Consider the following 18,993-nt stretch of genomic DNA (forward strand, 5'->3'; position numbering starts at 1 on the left):
TAGTTTTGGTAAAATTAAAACCCAATTGGTTAGTTTCTGCTGATGGAAATCTCACTTCTATGGAGAAAATATTACAAAATGTAAATCTGTTAGAGAAATTTAAGAATGAATCTGGCCGGGTGTGGTGGCTCACGCCTGTAATCCCAGCACTTTGGGAGGCCAAGGTGAGTGGATCGCTTGAGATCAGGAGTTCGAGACCAGCCTGGCCAACATGGTAAAACCCCATCTCTACCAAAAATACAAAAAAATTAGCTGGGTGTGGTGGCTTATGCCTGTAATCCCAGCTACTCGGGAGGCTGAGGCATGAGAATCGCTTGAACCTGGGAAACAGAGGTTGCAGTGAGCCAAGATTGTGCCACTGCACTCCACCCTGAGTGACAGAGCAAGACTGTCTCAAAAAAAAAAAAAAGGAATTGATCTAATGTAATACAATAGTAAATTAAGTTAAAATGTACTTGAAAATATTTGGAAATAATTATTATGTATTGGGATACGCCATTTGTTATAGCAAACATCCTCAAAAGTCTCAGCATCTTTTTTTTTTTTTTTTTTTTTGAGACAGGATCTCTGTCACTTGGGCTGGAGTGCAGTGGCATGATCATAGCTCACTGCAGCCTCGATCTCCCAGGCTCAAGAGATCCTCCTATCTCAGCCTCCTGAGTAGCTGGGACTACAGACGTGAGCCACTGCACCCAACCAGTCTCAGCATCTTAATACAATGAAGTCTTTATTTTTCGCACATGTCTCCATCCAATGTGGGTTTGAATGTGGATCCCCTCTGCCCCACACAGTTATTTAGGGACACAAGCTCTTTTTATGAATGGCGCTTTTATTTACTACCCATTCTCTTTTCTACTCTCTAACTTCTCAATCCAGTCAGCATGAAAAGAGTGGAGGGTTATACAGTTGGGGTTTTTTTCTGGTGGGGGCAGCGGGGGTAGGCTTTGAAGTGACTTACCTACCTACATATCATTAGCCAGAACTCACTCCTGTGGCCCACCTAACAGCAAAGGGGGCTGGAGAACGCAGTCTTGCTATGTGTGCAGGTGGAAATGGAAATAGGGTTTGGTGAACACCTCGCACTTCTCTGCTGCTCTTTGATAGTGGCATTACAAAGTCAAAGCTATGAGATCACAGGAACCTTATTGGTTTTATTCACCACTGTAACCCTGTAGTTGATGCTATGGTCTACACTGCACAGATTTCCATATAGTCTTAGGATCTTTCCACCTAGTGTCTCAGCAGGATAGTCTGACTTCTTACAGACAGTTCAGGACTCCAAGAGTGAATGTTTTAAGAGGTAAGAAGTGGAAGGTGCTCATTTCAAAGCCTAGGCTCAGAAACTGACACAGTATTACTTGCACTATATTTTATTAGAGCAGTTGCAGAGGGCTTCCAAATTGAAGGAAAGGAAAATAGGCCCCATTTCTCAATAAAAGGCATATCAAAGGATTTGTGGCCGTCTTTGATCTACCACGTCATAATATTTTTAATGTTTGTCTTTTTTTTTTTTTTTAAGAGACAGATCTTGCTATGTTGCTCAGGCTAGATTCAAACTCCTGGGCTCAAGCTATCCTCCCGCCTCAGCCTCGTGATGAGCTGGAACTACAGGCACAAGCTACCATGCCTGTCTTGAGTTACTTGTTTTGTTGCCTATAGACAGATTAGTCAGCTAGAGAAACTTTACTAATAAGACTAAAGTACACTCTTGCTTTTTATTTATTAACTAATTTATAAGGTTATCAAAATGCTTTAGCATCTTATTTCCTAATGGACTTAGAGCAGTAATTTTGGATATATGTATAAATTAATTGACATGATCCTTGGGTGCTAGAATTACTCTACTCGAGCTATAGTAACTGAAAATGGATGAGGGAGAAATAAGAATAGATAGAGCACATCCTTTCAGAATCTTTGTTCTGGCTTTCAGATGAGGTTTTCCCATCTGTTTCACTGTCCTTTCTGCAGTTTCCCTGTTAGTTCAGTATAGTGTATATATGTGGTGATTGAGGGGAGGGGTACAGAGATTACAGAGCCATCTTGCACTGTAAGTTATAGCTGCTTAGGTAAGTACTGATGACCAAAAGAAATTTTTCGACAGTGAGTTCAACAAATAAAGATGGTGTTAACCCTATTTACATGTCTCTAGGTAGACTGAAGGATTTTGAGTCATTAACAGTGAGCTTCAGATATTTCTTTTTGGGTATTCATTTATATATTTTAATCAGTTTCTATTGCAGTAAGATTCCAATAGAAGGAAAACAATGCTTCATTTTTTGTTGAAAGCAAACATACATTATAAGTTGTATAATACACAATGATTAATGAAGTTTTACTGTGTGTGTGTGCATGTGTGTATGTTTTTAAAATTACGGATGAACTATCATACAAATAAAAACAATCAGAATACAAAAAAATTAACTGTGTAGTGTATGCTTATACACATGCATATATGTATATATAAATGGGATTGTTCTATAACTTGCTTTTTTCACTTAATATATACTTCTGCATCGTTAATAAAACTGAAAGAGGAAATGATTGGATATAGATAGGTCCCTATTTCCCCTTGCAATGTAAACTCTGGACTTACTGGGCTATGGAGATCAGTGCTTTCTTTACTAAACTCTAGACTCAAATATACAACTGTCAATTCAACAGTTCCACTTGGATGTCCAGTAGACATCTCAGACTAAAAATGTCCCAAACTGAACTACTGATCTTCCCAAACCAGTTCTATTTGTAGTTCTCTAGCTTTAGCTGATAGAAAAATCTATCCTTCTAGCTGTAACTCTGTCTTTTCAGTTTAAGCCAAAATTCTTAGTCATCTTTGATTCTTCATTGTCTTATATCCCATATTCAATATAACAGGATATCCCATTAACTCTACTTTCAAAATATATCCATATTTCATATAGTAAAAGAACAACCCCTAATGATAAATGGAAACACATGCCTGCCTCCCACTCCACTGCTGTATTTGGTCATCTAGGCCCCTCCCATCTCCCCTTACTCTCCTCACCCCATCTCCTTCTTCCCACACCTCCTTCTTCCCACACCTCCTTTTTCATCCCATTTTAGGCAGCAGCATTCTATCACTTTTACTTTCAATTATGAGAATTCAGTAAGGAGCACAATGTACAGAGCACTTTCTTTTTTTTTTTTGAGATGGAGTCTCGCTCTGTCACCCAGGCTGGAGTGCAGTGGCGCGATCTGGGCTCACTGCAAGCTCCGCCTCCCGGGTTCATGCCATTCTCCTGCCTCAGCCTCCCGAGTAGCTGGGACTACAGGCACCTGCCACCACGCCCAGCTAATTTTTTGTATTTTTTAGTAGAGACGGGGTTTCACTGTGTTAGCCAGGATGGTCTCGATCTCCTGACCTCGTGATCCACCCGCCTCGGCCTCCCAAAGTGCTGGGATTACAGGTGTGAGCCGCCGCGCCCGGCCCAGAGCACTTTCCTACACATTTATCTTATTTAAAATTTAAAACAGTCCTTTTGCAGTTTTCCAGTTACTATTGCTGATGATAATTTGCCCCCAAACTTAGCAGCTTAGAGCAGCTGTGTTATACCCATTGATTCTGTGGGTCAGGAAATCAGATAGGGCACAGTGGAGATGGCTTCCCTCTGCTCCATGATGTGTCTAGGGCCTCATCAAGGAAGACAAAGTTTGAGAGTGACCCAACAGCTGGGCACTGGAATCAACTGAAGGCTTATTCACTGCGTGTCTGTGTAACAGCCCATCCCTGGGCTTGGATAACATAGACTACACATGGCCTTTCCATTAGTTTGGCTTCCTCATAGCCTAACAACCTCAGCATAGTCAGATTTCTTACAGGAGTCAGGCACAGGGCTCCAAGTGCATGCGTTCCTGCAAACCAGGAGGGAGCTACATTCCATTTTATGACCCAGCCTTGCAGTTCTCATGGCATCACTTCTATTGATCAAAAACCATCACAAGCCCTCCCCTATTTAAGGGGAAGGGAGATAGACTTCACTACTTGATGAAGATGACAAAGTCACATTGCAGAAGAATGTGGGATTTGGAAAATACCATCTGTCGCAGGGGTTATCATTGTCCTTTGTTTTGAGTCATGGAGACTTGGAGAGAAGTGATTATCCCAGAGTGGTAGGATGAACAAGGGTCATCTTGGGAAATGATTCCTAGAGTTGTTATTACAGTAACTACTATCTAGTTAGTTTTATTTGTGTGTTTAGAGATAGGGTCGCACTCTGTCACCCAGGCTGGAGTGCAGTGGTGTAATCATAGCTCTCTACAGCCTCAAATTCCTGGGCTCAAGTGATCTTCCTGCCTCAGCCTCCTGAGTAGCTGGGACTATAGGAACATACCACCACACCCAACTCTATCTAGTTCATTTTTAAGGCATTTATTTCAAACCTTTACAAAACCTATGAGGTTTTGGTTTTATGCAGTTTCTGCAGTGTTCACAAATGATTCTAATCCACTTATTAGGAAATGTAGCATAGTCTGTACCTGCCAAATATTTAGATCAACTGAAGAGACACTGAGGGGTCTCTGTACATAAGACACTGGAGGAGGCCATAGATCAGGTTAGAGTGACTGCAGTTACCTTTTTATTGCCTCCTTAGTTGGCACAGCAGTATCCACAAAGGCCAGAGGTAGTAGTGTTCCAGCCACTGGTCTCCCCTGGAGAGCAGATGTGATTGTGGGTCCTTTCACCAAAGGCTAGTCATCTGGAAAGTTATTACAACATTCATTTACATGCAAGCATCCAAATTGAAAGTTGAGGTTACCTCATCCTAACAAAATTGCTCATGCTTCTGGGCTTGCGAGCTTTTGCTGATTTGGTCAATGGTCTAGTGACCATTTAAAGAGTATCAGGCCGGGCGCGGTGGCTCACGCCTGTAATCCCACCACTTTGGGAGGCTGAGGCAGGTGGATCACCTGAGGTCAGGAGTTTGAGACCAGCCTGGCCAACATGGTGAAACCCCATCTCTGCTAAAAATACAAAAATTAGCCTGGCATGGTGGCATGCACCTGTAATCCCAGCTACTTGGGAGGCTGAGGCAGGAGAATCATTTCAACCTGGTAGGCAGAGGTTACAGTAAGCTGTGATCATGCCACTGCACTCTAGCCTGGGCAACAGAGTGAGACTTGGTCTCAAAAAAAAAAAAAAAGTGTGTCTATCCATAGTACATAGCCAAGAAAGAAAATCACCCATCCAGGGAGGATAATCCTGGGATTTCCTCCAGCTTTAGCCATGTTATATATACTCGAAGATATTGAAGCTGCATTTAAAAAATCCCAAACATATTTTTTTTCACTAATTCTCACAGCCCTTCCCCCTCTATCATTATAAGTACAATAATTTCTCCTTGTGAGTTTATATTAACTTCATCTTTTACCCATGTATTTTCTTGTAGTTGGTGTTACTGTTTTAGTATATAATTTATTGTCATGGTCTTGGTCCTTAGATGCAGACCTTTAGTTCAAGATACACGAGGAAAGATGAGTGAGATGACATTGCTGTCATTATCATTATTGTAAATTTTGCATCGAAGTATAATATCCACACAGAAAAGTACACAAAGCTGTACAGCTGAATGAATTTTCACAAATTAAATGCACTCATTTATCTGCCACCCAGATGGGGAAATAAAACATGGCTGGGCACGGTGGCTCATGCCTGTAATACCAGCACTTTGCAAGGCCAAGATGGGAGTATCACTTGAGCCCAGGAGTTCAAGACTAGCCTGGGCAACACAGTGAGACCCCATCTCTACAAAAGATTTTAAAACTAGCCATCGTGGTGGTGTGTACCTGTAGTTTCAGCTACTTAGGAGGCTGAGGTGGCAGGATCACTTGAGCCCAGGAGGTTGAGGCTGCAGGAGCTTTGGTCATGCCACTGAGAACTACCTAAAAAAAAAAAAGAAAATATTACCAACACCCAAGAACCCCTCCTTCTTCTCCCTGCCAGTAACTGACCTCCCTCACCCAAGGTATCAGTTTTGCCAGTTTTTGAGCTTCCTATGAATAGACTCCTACAGTGTAGTCATTTGAGACTGAATTGTTTTGCTCATCAGTAGGATTTTGCCATCCATCCATCCTGTTGCATGTAGTAATTCATTAATTTTCACTTCTGTGTCATGCATTGTGTGAATATGCCACATTTTTTATTCTGCTCTTGATATATATTTGGGTTGTTTCCAGTTTTTACCTACCATAAAAATGCTGATATGAGCCTTTTTATTTATCATTTGGCATGCATCTGTGTACACTTTTGCTAAGTATATACCTAGTGTGGGTTTGCTAGGTCATGGGTATGTGTACGTTCAGCTATAATATCTGCTGCCAAAGTGGTTGTTCAAATTCACACTCCCACCAGCAGCATAAGAGATAATCTATTTGCTCCATTTCCTTACCAACATTTAGTATTTTCAATTTTTGGACAGTCTTTTTAAGTTTAATTATTCTGGTAGATAATAGTGATTGTAATTTCAGTTTGCATTTCCGTGATAACTAATGAGGTTGAGAACCTTTTAAAAGTTTATTTGCCATCTGGATAGCCTTACTTGTGAAGTATCTCTTTAAGTTTTTTTGCCCAGCTTTTAATTGGGTTGTCTTTTTCTAATTAATTTGTAAGAGTTTATTATATATTGTAGATGTAAGTCCTTTGTTGTCTATGTGCAATTGCAAATATCTTCTCCTGTCCCATGGATTGCCTTTTTATTCTCTTAATTGTCTCTTTTGATAACCAGAAGTTCTAGTTTCATTTTTCAGTCTCTTCCTTTATGGTTAATGGCTTTTGTGTCTTATTTAAAATATCTTTGCCTGCCCCAAGGTCATAAATATATTCTCCTCTGTTTTCTTCCAGAAGCTTAATGAGCATATTGGTATAGAAAAACATTTATAGCCTACCTTGTTCCATGTAGAATTTGAGGCGATTGAGATGAATAGTTAGCAAAACGGTCTTCCTTTTAGAAGAAGATAACTCTTGACAAAAAATTGGGTATTCTCCCTTCTAGGCCATGCACTAAAGAAACATGACATATTTAATCTCATAGTCTCTAAAGAATTCATATGTCTGTCCTACCCTTTTTAGTTGGGTATGTTTCAGTTGGAAGCAGGCCTCTAACAGCAATTCCCAAAATTTTAGTTTCAATTAGTATTTGAGGTTTCTGCATTTTTCCTCAAATATTTGTTCCCTTTGGCTTTAAAAACTCCATATAGTAGAAAAATTAAAATGTGCAAATGTGTGTCGTTGTTATTAGCTTTATTCAGGTTCATTATTTGGAATCAGGCTTTTGGAAGAATGCTTATTAGGAGGCAGTATTCTCTACATTTATAGGGTGGACTATGCCTGTATATATTTTATGTTTATTCATTGGAATATGTTTGTGTTTGTAAATCCTTCCATATATGTGATGACTCTAGAGTAAAGAAACTGGCTCTAGAAGCCTTCCGGAGAAATGATTTTCATTATTTTATGATGACATACGTGTGTTTATTTCTTTTTTTAGATGGACCACCTTGTTCTTTAAAATTGCCACAGAATAATAATCCAGATTTTTCTCTTGGTTAAATTTTCTGAGGCCTCATACAGTATTTAAACCACCAATAATAACTTGTTGGCATGAAAAAAATTTATTTTTTTCTCTGGTTTCCTTGCCTTGAGCCCTTGGATGTCAGGAAGGGTGAGGGGAAATATCAGTCTGCTTGGGCTTAGATTTATGGTTGCTATTGTTTATGGTTGGGAAATGGATTGAGTGTGCATAGCTCCATGGCCTCTTGGCTTTAACTCATTTGCATAAATAGTGAAAATAATAAGGAATATAAAAACAATAACAATGACGTTATTGAGCATCTATTTTTACTGTACACTAAGCCAAACACTTTCTGTTTTTTTCTATATAATTGTTATAATAGTCCTACAAATTTGGCATTTTTTCCCTTCAACTTTTAAGTTCAGGGGTACATGTGCAGGATGTATAGGTTTGTTACATAAATAAACGTGTGCCATGGTCGTTTGCTGCACAAATCATCCCATCACCAAGCTGTTAAGCCTAGCATGCATTAGCTATTCTTCCTGATGCTCTCCCTCCCCTCACTGACAGGCAGCAGTGTGTGTTGTTCCCCCTACCATGTGTTCATGTGTTTTCATCATTCAGCTCCCACTTATAAGTGAGAACATGCAGGTTTTGGTTTTCTGTTCCTGCGTTAGTTTGCTGAGGATAATGGCTTCCAACTCCATCCATGTCCCTGCAAAGGACATGATCTCATTTTTTTTTGGCTGCCTAGTATTCCATGGTGAATATGTACCACATTTTCTTTATCCAGTCTATCATTGATGGGCATTTAGGTTAATTCCATGTCTTTGCTAGATATTATTTTTATCATATTTAATGATTGTTATCCTTACATTTTAGCTAAGAAAACTGAACCTTATATAAAGTAAGTGGCCAGGCACAGTGGCTCACGCCTGTAATCCCAGCGCTTTGGGAGGCCAAGGTGGGCGGATCATGAGGTCAGGAGTTCGAGACCAGCCTGGCCAACATGGTGAAACCCCTTCTCTACTAAAAATACAAAAAATTAGCTGGGCGTGGTGGCACTTGCCTGTAATCCCAGCTACTGGGAGGCTGAGGCAGGAGAATCACTTGAACCCGGGAGGCGGAGGTTGCAGTGAGCCGAGACCATGCCACTGCACTCTACCCTGGGCAACAGAGCAAGACTCCATCTCAAAATAAATGAATAAACAAACAAACAAATAAAGTAATAGCCTGAGATCACCATGTAAGTGAGTGACAGAAAAAAACAAGCCTCTGTGAGACTAAAGCTTGTTTTCTTTACCACCATCCAGTATTGTCTCCGTGACAGAAAATTATTAATTTGGCTGAAATATATCTTTGGTATGGGATCTGGCTGTGCCTTTGTGCAGATATCGCCCCCTCCCAGGTTGGTTTCCTCTTCTAAATAAACTTGGTGGCCATTGTACCAAGAACACACTAATGTGACGACATTTTATTAGAATGAATGGGCCAGTCGTGGTGGCTCACGCCAGTAATCCCAACACTTTAGGAGGCCAAGTTAGAAGGATTGCTTAAGGCCAGGAATTCAAGACCAGCCTGGACAACATAGTGAGACCCCATCTCTTACCCAAAAAAAAATTTTTCAAACGTTAGCCAGGCATGGTGGCATGTGCCTGTAGTCTCAGCTACTTGAGAAGCTGAGGCAGGAGGATCACTGGAGCCCAGGAGTTCAAGGCTATGGTAAGCTATGACCTTGCCACTGCATTCCAGCCTGGGTGGTTGAGCAAGAGCTTGTCTCTAAAAATTTTTTTAAAAATTAGAATGTTGGGAACCAGGATCCATGAGGGTGAATAAAGAATATTGTAAGCAGTCAGTGAGTTAACAGCACATGACAAAACTAAATTTGTAAAACCATTTGCTTTCTAGAAAGGAATCTGCCATACCTCCCAGAGGGCATTTAGCCATCCATTCAGTGCCTGAAATCTGTCATTTGTTGATTGTTATCATTGTCTTTCTGTTGCTTTTCTAGGATTATAGCTGAGAAGGTAAAGGACGTTCTGTTTATCCGACCCCGGAAGTATATTCACTGCTCCAGCCCAGACACCACAGAGCCTGGCTACATCAACATCATGGAGTTGGCAGCATCTGTTTGCCGCTATGACCTAGATGACATGGACATCTTCTGGCTTCAGGAACTCAATGAAGACCTTGCAGAAATGGGTAAGTTCTTTTCTCACAAGTAAGTTGTGACTTAATTCATGTTTTTTTTTTAAGTTATCAGAACCCTTTAGCTTGTTTTTATTTTTGTTGCCTCCTTTCTTTTCTGGCCTTTTCATTTATTTTTCTCATTGATTTTATCTTATTTCAGTGAGATATTTCTTCAAATGCATACATAGAAATAAAGCAATAATATTTAAATATGACCTTTTCTTTCCTCATTCATAGTTAATGGCACAGATCAAGGATAGCATATAGGTCTCATGAAGTTGTTTCCCAATTCAGGAAGTTTGAGAATGGCCATAGCTGATTGGCCATAGCTGATTGGACTTCTGGTTGAGAATTCTGAGGCAGGTTCCTGGCCTGAAAAGCAGTGTGATCAGTGAGCAGGGCCAGAGGTAGAGGCCCCTCTGGCAGGGGCTTGGAGAGAATCTCCAACTTCAGTATTGAGCAGCACCACTGCAACTGACAGATTGCTGTGACAGTACCCCTTAATGCAGGACTTGCTACCTGGAAGAAAAGTTGCAGGCCTAGAGCAAAACATTCACAAAGCAGTTCTTAGCTACTTCCACGGAGTTCTAGAGTTGTCATACAATATTCAAAAGATAAAATGAAACAAAAACAAGCAAATAAATTTATGTTTACATATGGAAGTAAACATAATTAATAATTTTAAAGTAAATGTGTGCCATACAATACCATACCAACAATACTGAGAAATGCTAGGCTGAAAGATAACTCATTTTATACTTACACACAGTTCTTGTTCATCTGTTTTCAGTCTAAGCAGTGTTCACGTCCAAGTTTTCCTGTAGATCTGTGGGTAGTTTTTAAGACTCCGTATAAGATATGGTGAAGGATACATTTGATCTCATTTTTGTTTGAATCACATTTTATTTCATTTTTGTTTGAATCACATTTGTTCATTGTTAGTATAAGGATCAGTGGTTTTTCTTTTCTTCCCGCCCTCCCTTTTTCCTTTCTTTCTTTTGAGGCTAGTATCTGAATGCACATGAATAAAAAACTGAAATTATATTAAAGCAGTTTGGCATGGGAATGATAGTTACTCTGCCAGTAACCAATCCTTATTCCTTGATTTTTAAAGCTTTTTGTTTTATGTCTTTTCTTGCTCTGCCCCCTAAGAGGAGAGGGGAGTGGTAAATTTAGGGTGGCAACCACAAAGAGAAGGGAATGAAAGACTGACAGAGAAGTAAAATCAGAATATGAGGACATAATCAAATGGATTCATGGCTCAATGTGCGCTTGTGTTCATAATGCATATAATATCCATAGCTATCACAATCATTGCAAGGCTGCCTTTGGCATGAAACTACCTTATTATGAGGTTCCTTTGGTATTTTGTAATTAATTCTCCTTGGGTGAGTTTTTTAAATAAACTTTTTATTTTGGAATAGTTTGATTTACAGAAAAGTTGCAGTTAGTACAGGGAGTTCTCATATACACCTCACAGTTTCAGTTCCCCTAATGTTAACATCTTACTTTACCATGGTACATATGTCAAAACTACAAAACCAATACTGGTACATTACTGTTAACTTCAGACTTTATTGGGATTTCAAGGTTTTTTTTTCCACTTACAACCTTTTTCTGTTCCAGGATCCCATCAAGTATACCACATTGCATTTAGGCTTGTAAGAATTTTAAAAGAGGATTGCAGTATCTCAAGCTTTTCTTTAGGGTGAATGATATTGCAGTGAGGTGTCTAAGAGCTTAAAGTAAACTTTTTAAAAACAATATTAAGCGTATTATGAATTAAGAACTTTTTAAGTTGAGTGCTGACTACATATTAAGCACCATACTAAGCAATGTACCAATATTACTTCATCTCAGCTTCACAACAAATCAGTGGGTTTCTTATTATTATACTAATTTCATAGATAAGAACACTAAGCCCTAAAGAGGATAAATAACGTGTCAAAGTTTACATAGCTAATATGAGGTAAGGTTGGAATTTTAATCCAAGTTTTCTTGTAACCAGACACTATATTCCTTTACTCCAAAAAAAAAATGTGTAACTTGTCTTGGCTGGAAAAATGAAACATAAGGCCTGGGCAGTTTTTGGTTTCATAAGTAGCCACACCTTAAAATGGTAGTTTATGTGGAATTCTAAAGTTTCTTAGGACATCTTATATTACAAATGAAGTGGAATACTTGGGTACATTTGTTTTGGATCATCTTGAGGATTATTCCGGAGTTTACAAGTTGTTAGAATAAATACATAAGTGCTGTCACAAAATTTGATTAATAAGTGTGGAAGGCTAAGATAAAGTTATAGCTGAGAAAAGGAATCAGGAAGCAAAGAAGGTAATTCCAGAATTGAAGTTAGACCTTTGTGAATATTAACAGGTTTATATGTTGTTATAGTTTGCCATTGAAAAATATTATTAGATTTTTTAAAAGTCATATTTGAAAAACAAAATATTTTATATGTGTAATCACCTACACATGGGACCTAGAATTTTCTTTTATGGGCTTCATACATTTTTATATGAAAATTTCCTTGTATAATCATTAGATATGCTCATTGAAGCTAACTTGCTAAGAATGAATTATTATATCCAAATAGTTATGTGATTTTAATTACTATGCTACAAATTATCGTGTCCAGAATTATAAAGCTTGGTGAAAGTCCTCCTACAGTGAGAATAAGAGAAAATATAGAGATTTAAGAGGAGACTGGCAAGGATTTGGACAAGAAATCGAAAGGGTCAGTAATATATCTTCTAAGGAACATGGTGAAATATACATCTCCTTTCATGTGTCAAACACTAATATATGATTATAGGTAAATGTTAGAGTAGCACTAGCAAAAGATTTTTTGAAATCTGGTTGTTTTAGAGCAGGAAAGAGATGTTTTTATCCTTTAGAATCCTACCCACTCCTGCACTGGGCTCACAGTAGGTGTTTTGGGAATGACAGCTGACTGATGGGTTGATTGATTGTTTGTATTTCTGTGCAGGTTGTGGGCCAGTTGATGAGAATCTTATGGAAAAGACAGTAGAAGTCCTGGAACGCCATTGCCATGAAAATATGAACCATGCTATTGAGACAGAGGAAGGGCTAGGCATAGAGTATGATGAAGATGTGATCTGTGATGTGTGCCGGTCTCCAGACAGTGAAGAAGGGAATGATATGGTGTTCTGTGATAAGTGTAACGTCTGTGTGCATCAGGTTAGTGAGAGTGGAGACCGTCATCTCCCTACGGTCAGCCTTTCTGAAGCTCAGTGATGATCTCCAGCACGCATATCTGGGTAGCAGCTTGCATTTAAGGGTGAAAATAAAGATTTGGCCTGGTTGTTCTTCAGTATTTCCTCTAGAAACAATGCTTCTTATGACCCCCAAGATGACTTGCTGACTAACTTTACCCCATGGGGCTAAACCCAGGTCTTTATTGTGTCACTTTATGCCCAGACCATTGGGATTGCCTTGTTCAGCTTGCCCCTAGGCCCCTGCCCCAGGGGGATCTCATTGCTGCCTGTCTGAGGTCTCTCCTCTTCCTTCAAATCTCCATGGCCTCATGAGGTTACACCCATGGTCAGTAACCTTGGTGAGTTTACACTTCCTACAAATAGAAGTCCAGACTCCTTATCCTGGCACTTGTAACCCTCCCCCATCCCCTAAACATGCCACTCCTAAGAATGTCCACCCCACTTTTAAAGATCACAGAATTTTAGGACTGCAAAAGACTGTCTAACTCCTCAATTTTACACAAATACCGGGAGAGGTGAAGTGACTTTACCCAAGCTGGTTATTTGTCATTCTTTCTACTATACTGCCTTTTTAATTAATAATGATGATTATGATATCAACCCTCCTTTCAGCTCTTTCCATTTTTTCCCCCACAAGCACTGTGTTCCAACAAAATAAGGTTACTCAAGGTGCAGTGATGAATATTCCTGACACTGTCCTATCTCCCATGTTTCAGCCACACTCCAATTTGTAAATGCCTCCTCCTATGTCCCAGCTATCAAAAATCTATATATTTTTCAAGGTCTAGTTCAAATCCTTTCTTGAACTCCCTTACCCTAAGTGATTTTTCATTCTTCTGAACCTGTTGTATATTTCATTCATTTTGTTAATTTGTCTAGCAAATAGGTACAGTACTCCGTGGGCCAGGATTGTGATGCATGCTGAGGACACAGTCAGTGATGAAGAGGCAGACATGGTCTGTGCCCCCAGGGAGATCATAGTCTGGTGAAAGAAATATAAGGAAACTGCCAATTTAGCATCATATGCCAAGTGTTTTTATAGATATAAGTCCAAGCTGCTGTGGAAATGCATCTGTGAGAAACGAGGGTCAGGGACAACTTCCAGGAGGTAGCACCCAAGCTAAATCTTAATGTCCAAAAGGAGATGTCAAGTAAACCAGCAATGTGTGTTCAGGCAGAGAGGAGAAATGTTCAGACAGGGTAGTGAAAGCAGGCAAAATATGTCAGAGGCAACTGAAGCCTTCAGAAACTGTAAAGTGGCAGAGTAGAGTAGGGAAGGCATGGAAAGTGAGGGTAGAGAGGGATACAAGAGACGTGTGTAAAGGACCGTCTGACAAACTAAGGAACTTCAGTTCTGTCCTGTCAACCCTGGAGGATATGATATGTATTTTAGAAAGATCATTCTGGCTACAAAATGACTAAAGTAATTAGAATAGATAACATAGCAGATAGAAACCAGGGCTTAAGATTATTTTAATTCCCTGGGCCTCTTAACCTAACCACCCTGTATGTAAAAGGTACTCAGAATTATTCTGTGACCAATTGGGTCTTTTTCTTCATTTACCTTTAACAAAGTGAATTTTGAAAATTTGTCTTCACTTTACCAATTATTGGCATTTATATCAGACTTTAAGTGAGAGCAGAAAATCTTTACCATTTAACTATGAACTTAAGTATTATATCTCACAATACAAGCCCAGAGTCCTTTCTCTGCAATTCCAAAATTATAAAGTTCTGAAAAACGCATGTTTTTGCTGAAGTTTCACACCAGAACTGATTTGAGGACAATACCACAACCCACCCAGTATGAGGCCATTTGTAGTCCTTATCCATTTTGTTTAAATACTCATATATTTTGTTAGAGAACTATTAATGTGTTTGGTTATATGGTATTGCCCCTGGTCCCACTGGGGGCTTAGGTCATATACTATATATATATATATACTTTCCTAAGATCTGAGCAATTCTGAATTTCCTAATTTTTCTTACCCTAGAGGTTTCAGATAAATGATTGTGGATCTGTAGTAGGCTTAAAAGGAATAGCATAAAGGTCATCTGTATATATTTCCTATGTTTGTCCTTTACAGTTGGGACAAAATAGTAAGTATTCTCAGGTTCTTTAACAAACTCAAATGTAGCATAATTATCTCCAATGCTATTTATTAGTCTTAAAAACGATTCCGGTAATGAATATAAATGATACCCCTTTCTCACATAGAAAGAGATGAGATGGCAATAACTGACCAGACCTTGCAGTATGTAAACTGGTATGTATTAAAGCTGGGACATTGGTACCCTATAAAGTTTCACATAAGAGATTCTTCCAAAGTGAGTATATTTACTTGGATTCTAAAGAGATACTTGGCTTAGAGCTCCCTCTGTTGGCTGAAAAGTGACTTAAAATACCTTGGAAGATTTGGTTTACTCCCTAACAGAATGGGGACATGTTGACATCTGAATTTATTAAACATGATTTTTCTTCTTTAGTGACACCATATTACATTTCAGTGTTTGTTCCTCAGTGACAAAAAATACACTTATGTGTACTTTAGAAGAGATGTGTACATAAGTAGCCTTTAGATTTTAACAATGAATTTAACATTTTTTCTTTAAAAAATGTGAAAGTTGGGCCGGGCATGGTGGCTCACGCCTGTAATCCCAGCACTTTGGGAGGCCGAGGCGGGTGGATCACGAGGTCAGGAGTTCAATACCAGCCTGGCCAATATGGTGAAACCCCGTCTCTATTAAAAATACAAAAATGAGCTGGGTGTGGTGGCATGCACCTGTAGTCCCAGCTGCTCGGGAGGCTGAGGCAGAAGAATTGCTTGAACCCAGGAGGTGGACATTGCAGTGAGCCAAGATTGCGCCACTGCACTCCAGCCTGGGCGACAGAGTGAGACTCCATCTCAAAAAAAAAAAAATGTGAAAGTTAGGGCCATTCTAAATCCTTTTACATGTATCTATGATCTTATGACTGTGAGTAAGTCCACAAAAGGGCTCAGTAAATGATGTTCTGCCCTATAGACTGGCCAGGAGCTAAAGGATATTCCAAGAGCCAGTCACTGACCTGACCTCTCTTCTGCCAGTCTGAAAGAGACTCTATTTTAGGGAGGAAGCTTGCTTTCATTTCCTAGCAAACATTCTGGGCCTCAGACAAAGAGCTTTAAAGGTTAGAAACCTTATAAAATGATGCCTTGCTCTTGTGAGAGGAGCCTACCTAGAGTCCAGCTTCAGTTCTTGAGCTAAATACATTTGTTTTATCCAACCACCTACTCAAGCTCAGCATAGGGGGCATTCCAGGTAAATTGATGATAACAGCTCTACCTCTAGTGACTTTAAAATCTCATTGAGTTCTGTAGGCCAGGGTTAATTAAAAGAAAAAAAAATACTAAAAATGTCACTGAGGAGAAGAAACACAACAGCAAATGTAGAGAAAAAGAATACATGATGCTGGCCGGGTGCTGTGACTCACACCTGTAATTCCAGCACTTTGGGAGACCAAAGTGTGGATCACTTGAGCCCAGGATTTTGAGAGTAGCCTGGGCAGTATTGCAAAACCTCGTCTCTACAAAAATTAGCTGGGCAGAGTGGCACATGCCTGTGCTCCTAGGTACTCGGGAGGCTAAGGTAGGACGATTGCTTGAGCCCAGGAGGTTGAGGCTACAGTGAGCCAAGATCATGCCACAGCATTCCAGCCTGGGTGACAGAGCAAGACCCTGTCTCAAAAAAAATAATAATAAAATTAAAGAACACATGATGCTGACTATGTACTTGGTGAGGGAAATTGCATGGAGTGGAGGATGGGAGTCAGGCAGTGGGACAAACGCAAGGGGCTACAGTGACCTGAGCAGGATTTTTGGAGGGGCCTGGAGTTTGAACCGGGTCTGGAAGGGTGAGAAAGGTCCAACTATGCAAACAACAGTTGACCATGTAGAGCAGGGAAGCTGCTTAGACACATGGATGTGAAAATAAGAATGACCAGTTATGGAGAAAACCAGGAGGCCTGCCTGTCCAAGTCAGAAGCCCTGTGTTTGGGTATAGTGGGGCATGAGATCAGATAGTGAAGTACAAGGAACAACAGGCTTTAGATAAGGAACCGGCAAACTTTTTCTTTAAGGATCCGCTGTAAATATTTCAGTCTTTATAGCCACATACAGTCTCTGTTACATGTTCTTCTTCTTCTCTTTACAACCCTTTAAAAATGTGAAAACCATTCTTAGCTTGTTGGCTTTATAAAACAGACCTTGGAAAATAGCCAACCCCTAGTTTGGATAGTGGGGAGCAGGTAAGAGCAGAAGGAATATCTAAAGGGCTTGCCACTGTACAATGGTATGAATTCTTTTAGTGAGGAGAATCTGGCAGTCAAGTAGAAGAAGGGTTGAAGGCGTGCAGGGGGAAAAAGAAAATGTAGAAATTAATCAATCCAGGCATGGCATAATGAGAACTTGGATAGAGCAAGTGGTGAGGACGGAGAGGAACGTCAGAGTCTTGGGGCCACTGTAGGGAGAATAGCAAGTACCAGGTCAGCAGATGAAAGAAAGTGAGTAATACAAGTCTAGGAATTTGGATCTGGAAGATAGGAAGTATGGTGGTGACACGGAAAGAAGGAGCTTGGAAAAGGACCAGGTTGTGGGGGGACCGATATTATGGTAACTGTTATAACTTGAATCTGAGTTGAGGGTGAATCTCCTGAGGCAGACAGAAATTTTGAAGCTGCCATATTGAATCAGTTAGTCTCTAATAGAGTAGAGCAGTAAGGAGGAAATGATGGGCAAAATTGGGGATAGCAAAAAGGGAGTCTAGAATGTTTCCCAAACTAATCTCCAGTTTCTCACAGTAATTATTTGTCCAACTTCATTCCATAAAGGATTTGAAGCACCTTCCAGAACTCATTATGAATTATTGTGATTAGTGTAATATTCTATTCAAGATTCATTCACAAGTCCCTGTTTCTTCAACCCAAGCAAGCAATTGCTACGATTTACTGAGTACTTTTTATGCACCAGGCGTTAATAGGCTTTTTATAAACGTCAGTTCATTTGCTCCTCAGAAGTTTCATTCTCTTTATTTTCTAAAACTTTTTTCTTGATCACAACAGTGTATGACTTTTAGGAAATGTTCAATAAGTGTTTGACTAATTATAATACATAGTCATTGAAGAAGCTTTAGAAAACAGACCAAAAAATGCTGTAATCACAACACTCAGATAACAGTTGGGTTAACGGTTGGCTGTATCTCCTCGTCTTGTTCTATCATCCTTAAAGTCAGTTCTCATGGACAGACATGCTGATCTTAGGAGAGATGCTGGAAGTTGCTTTTTTGAGTATTTTTAAATCACTCGATACTGGATATAAGCTTGTTCGGCTTTATTTGCCTTTCTCCCAAAAGCAGAGGATACTCTGTGACTGTGTATCAGAACAGATACCAACCCTGGTGAGAAGGTGCTGACCATTCTCCCCTCTCCTCCTCATACCTCCAGGCCTGCTATGGCATCCTCAAGGTCCCAGAAGGCAGCTGGCTGTGTCGCTCCTGTGTCCTGGGCATTTATCCGCAATGTGTGTTATGTCCAAAGAAAGGTGGAGCCCTGAAGACCACCAAGACAGGGACTAAATGGGCTCATGTCAGCTGTGCCCTGTGGATCCCAGAGGTAAGAATTCATCCAGGCCCGTGAGACCATTTGCTCCAGGGTGTCCCTGTTCCCCACAGCATTCAGACTGACTCAGGCTCAGTATGGAAATGCTTCATGCTTGCCCATGTTTCTGAAGTAATAGTACTTCCACTTGAGCTACCTCAGATCCTTATTGGATGCACACTTGCATGTAAGCCCATGGTGATTAATATATAGGTGGTATTCCCAGTGGTATTTGGGATAATACCCGAATATATACACGATATTTGGGATAATACCCAAATATATACATGATATTTGGGTATATCATGTATAAATTGATAAATTTGTATGAGAGGAGAGACACAAAAGACCAGGGTGTGAGCAGCAGAATTTTTTAAGGTAAAACTTATATTTAGATGCCAAATTT

General features: G+C 39.8%; 1 protein-coding gene across 2 annotated transcripts in view; it reads left to right on the forward strand.

The window, feature by feature from the left end:
• JADE3 (jade family PHD finger 3) overlaps positions 1-18,993 on the forward strand; it is a 148,942-nt gene that overhangs the window by 102,886 nt on the left and 27,063 nt on the right. For both annotated transcript variants that reach the window (NM_001077445.3, NM_014735.5), the window contains exons 5-7: positions 9,538-9,728; positions 12,706-12,917; positions 18,435-18,602. In NM_001077445.3, coding sequence (NP_001070913.1) covers positions 9,538-9,728; positions 12,706-12,917; positions 18,435-18,602 — 571 coding nt within the window. The remainder of the gene's footprint in view (positions 1-9,537; positions 9,729-12,705; positions 12,918-18,434; positions 18,603-18,993) is intronic.

Source organism: Homo sapiens, chromosome X (genome assembly GCF_000001405.40).
Source record: "Homo sapiens chromosome X, GRCh38.p14 Primary Assembly".
Lineage (NCBI taxonomy): Eukaryota > Metazoa > Chordata > Mammalia > Primates > Hominidae > Homo > Homo sapiens.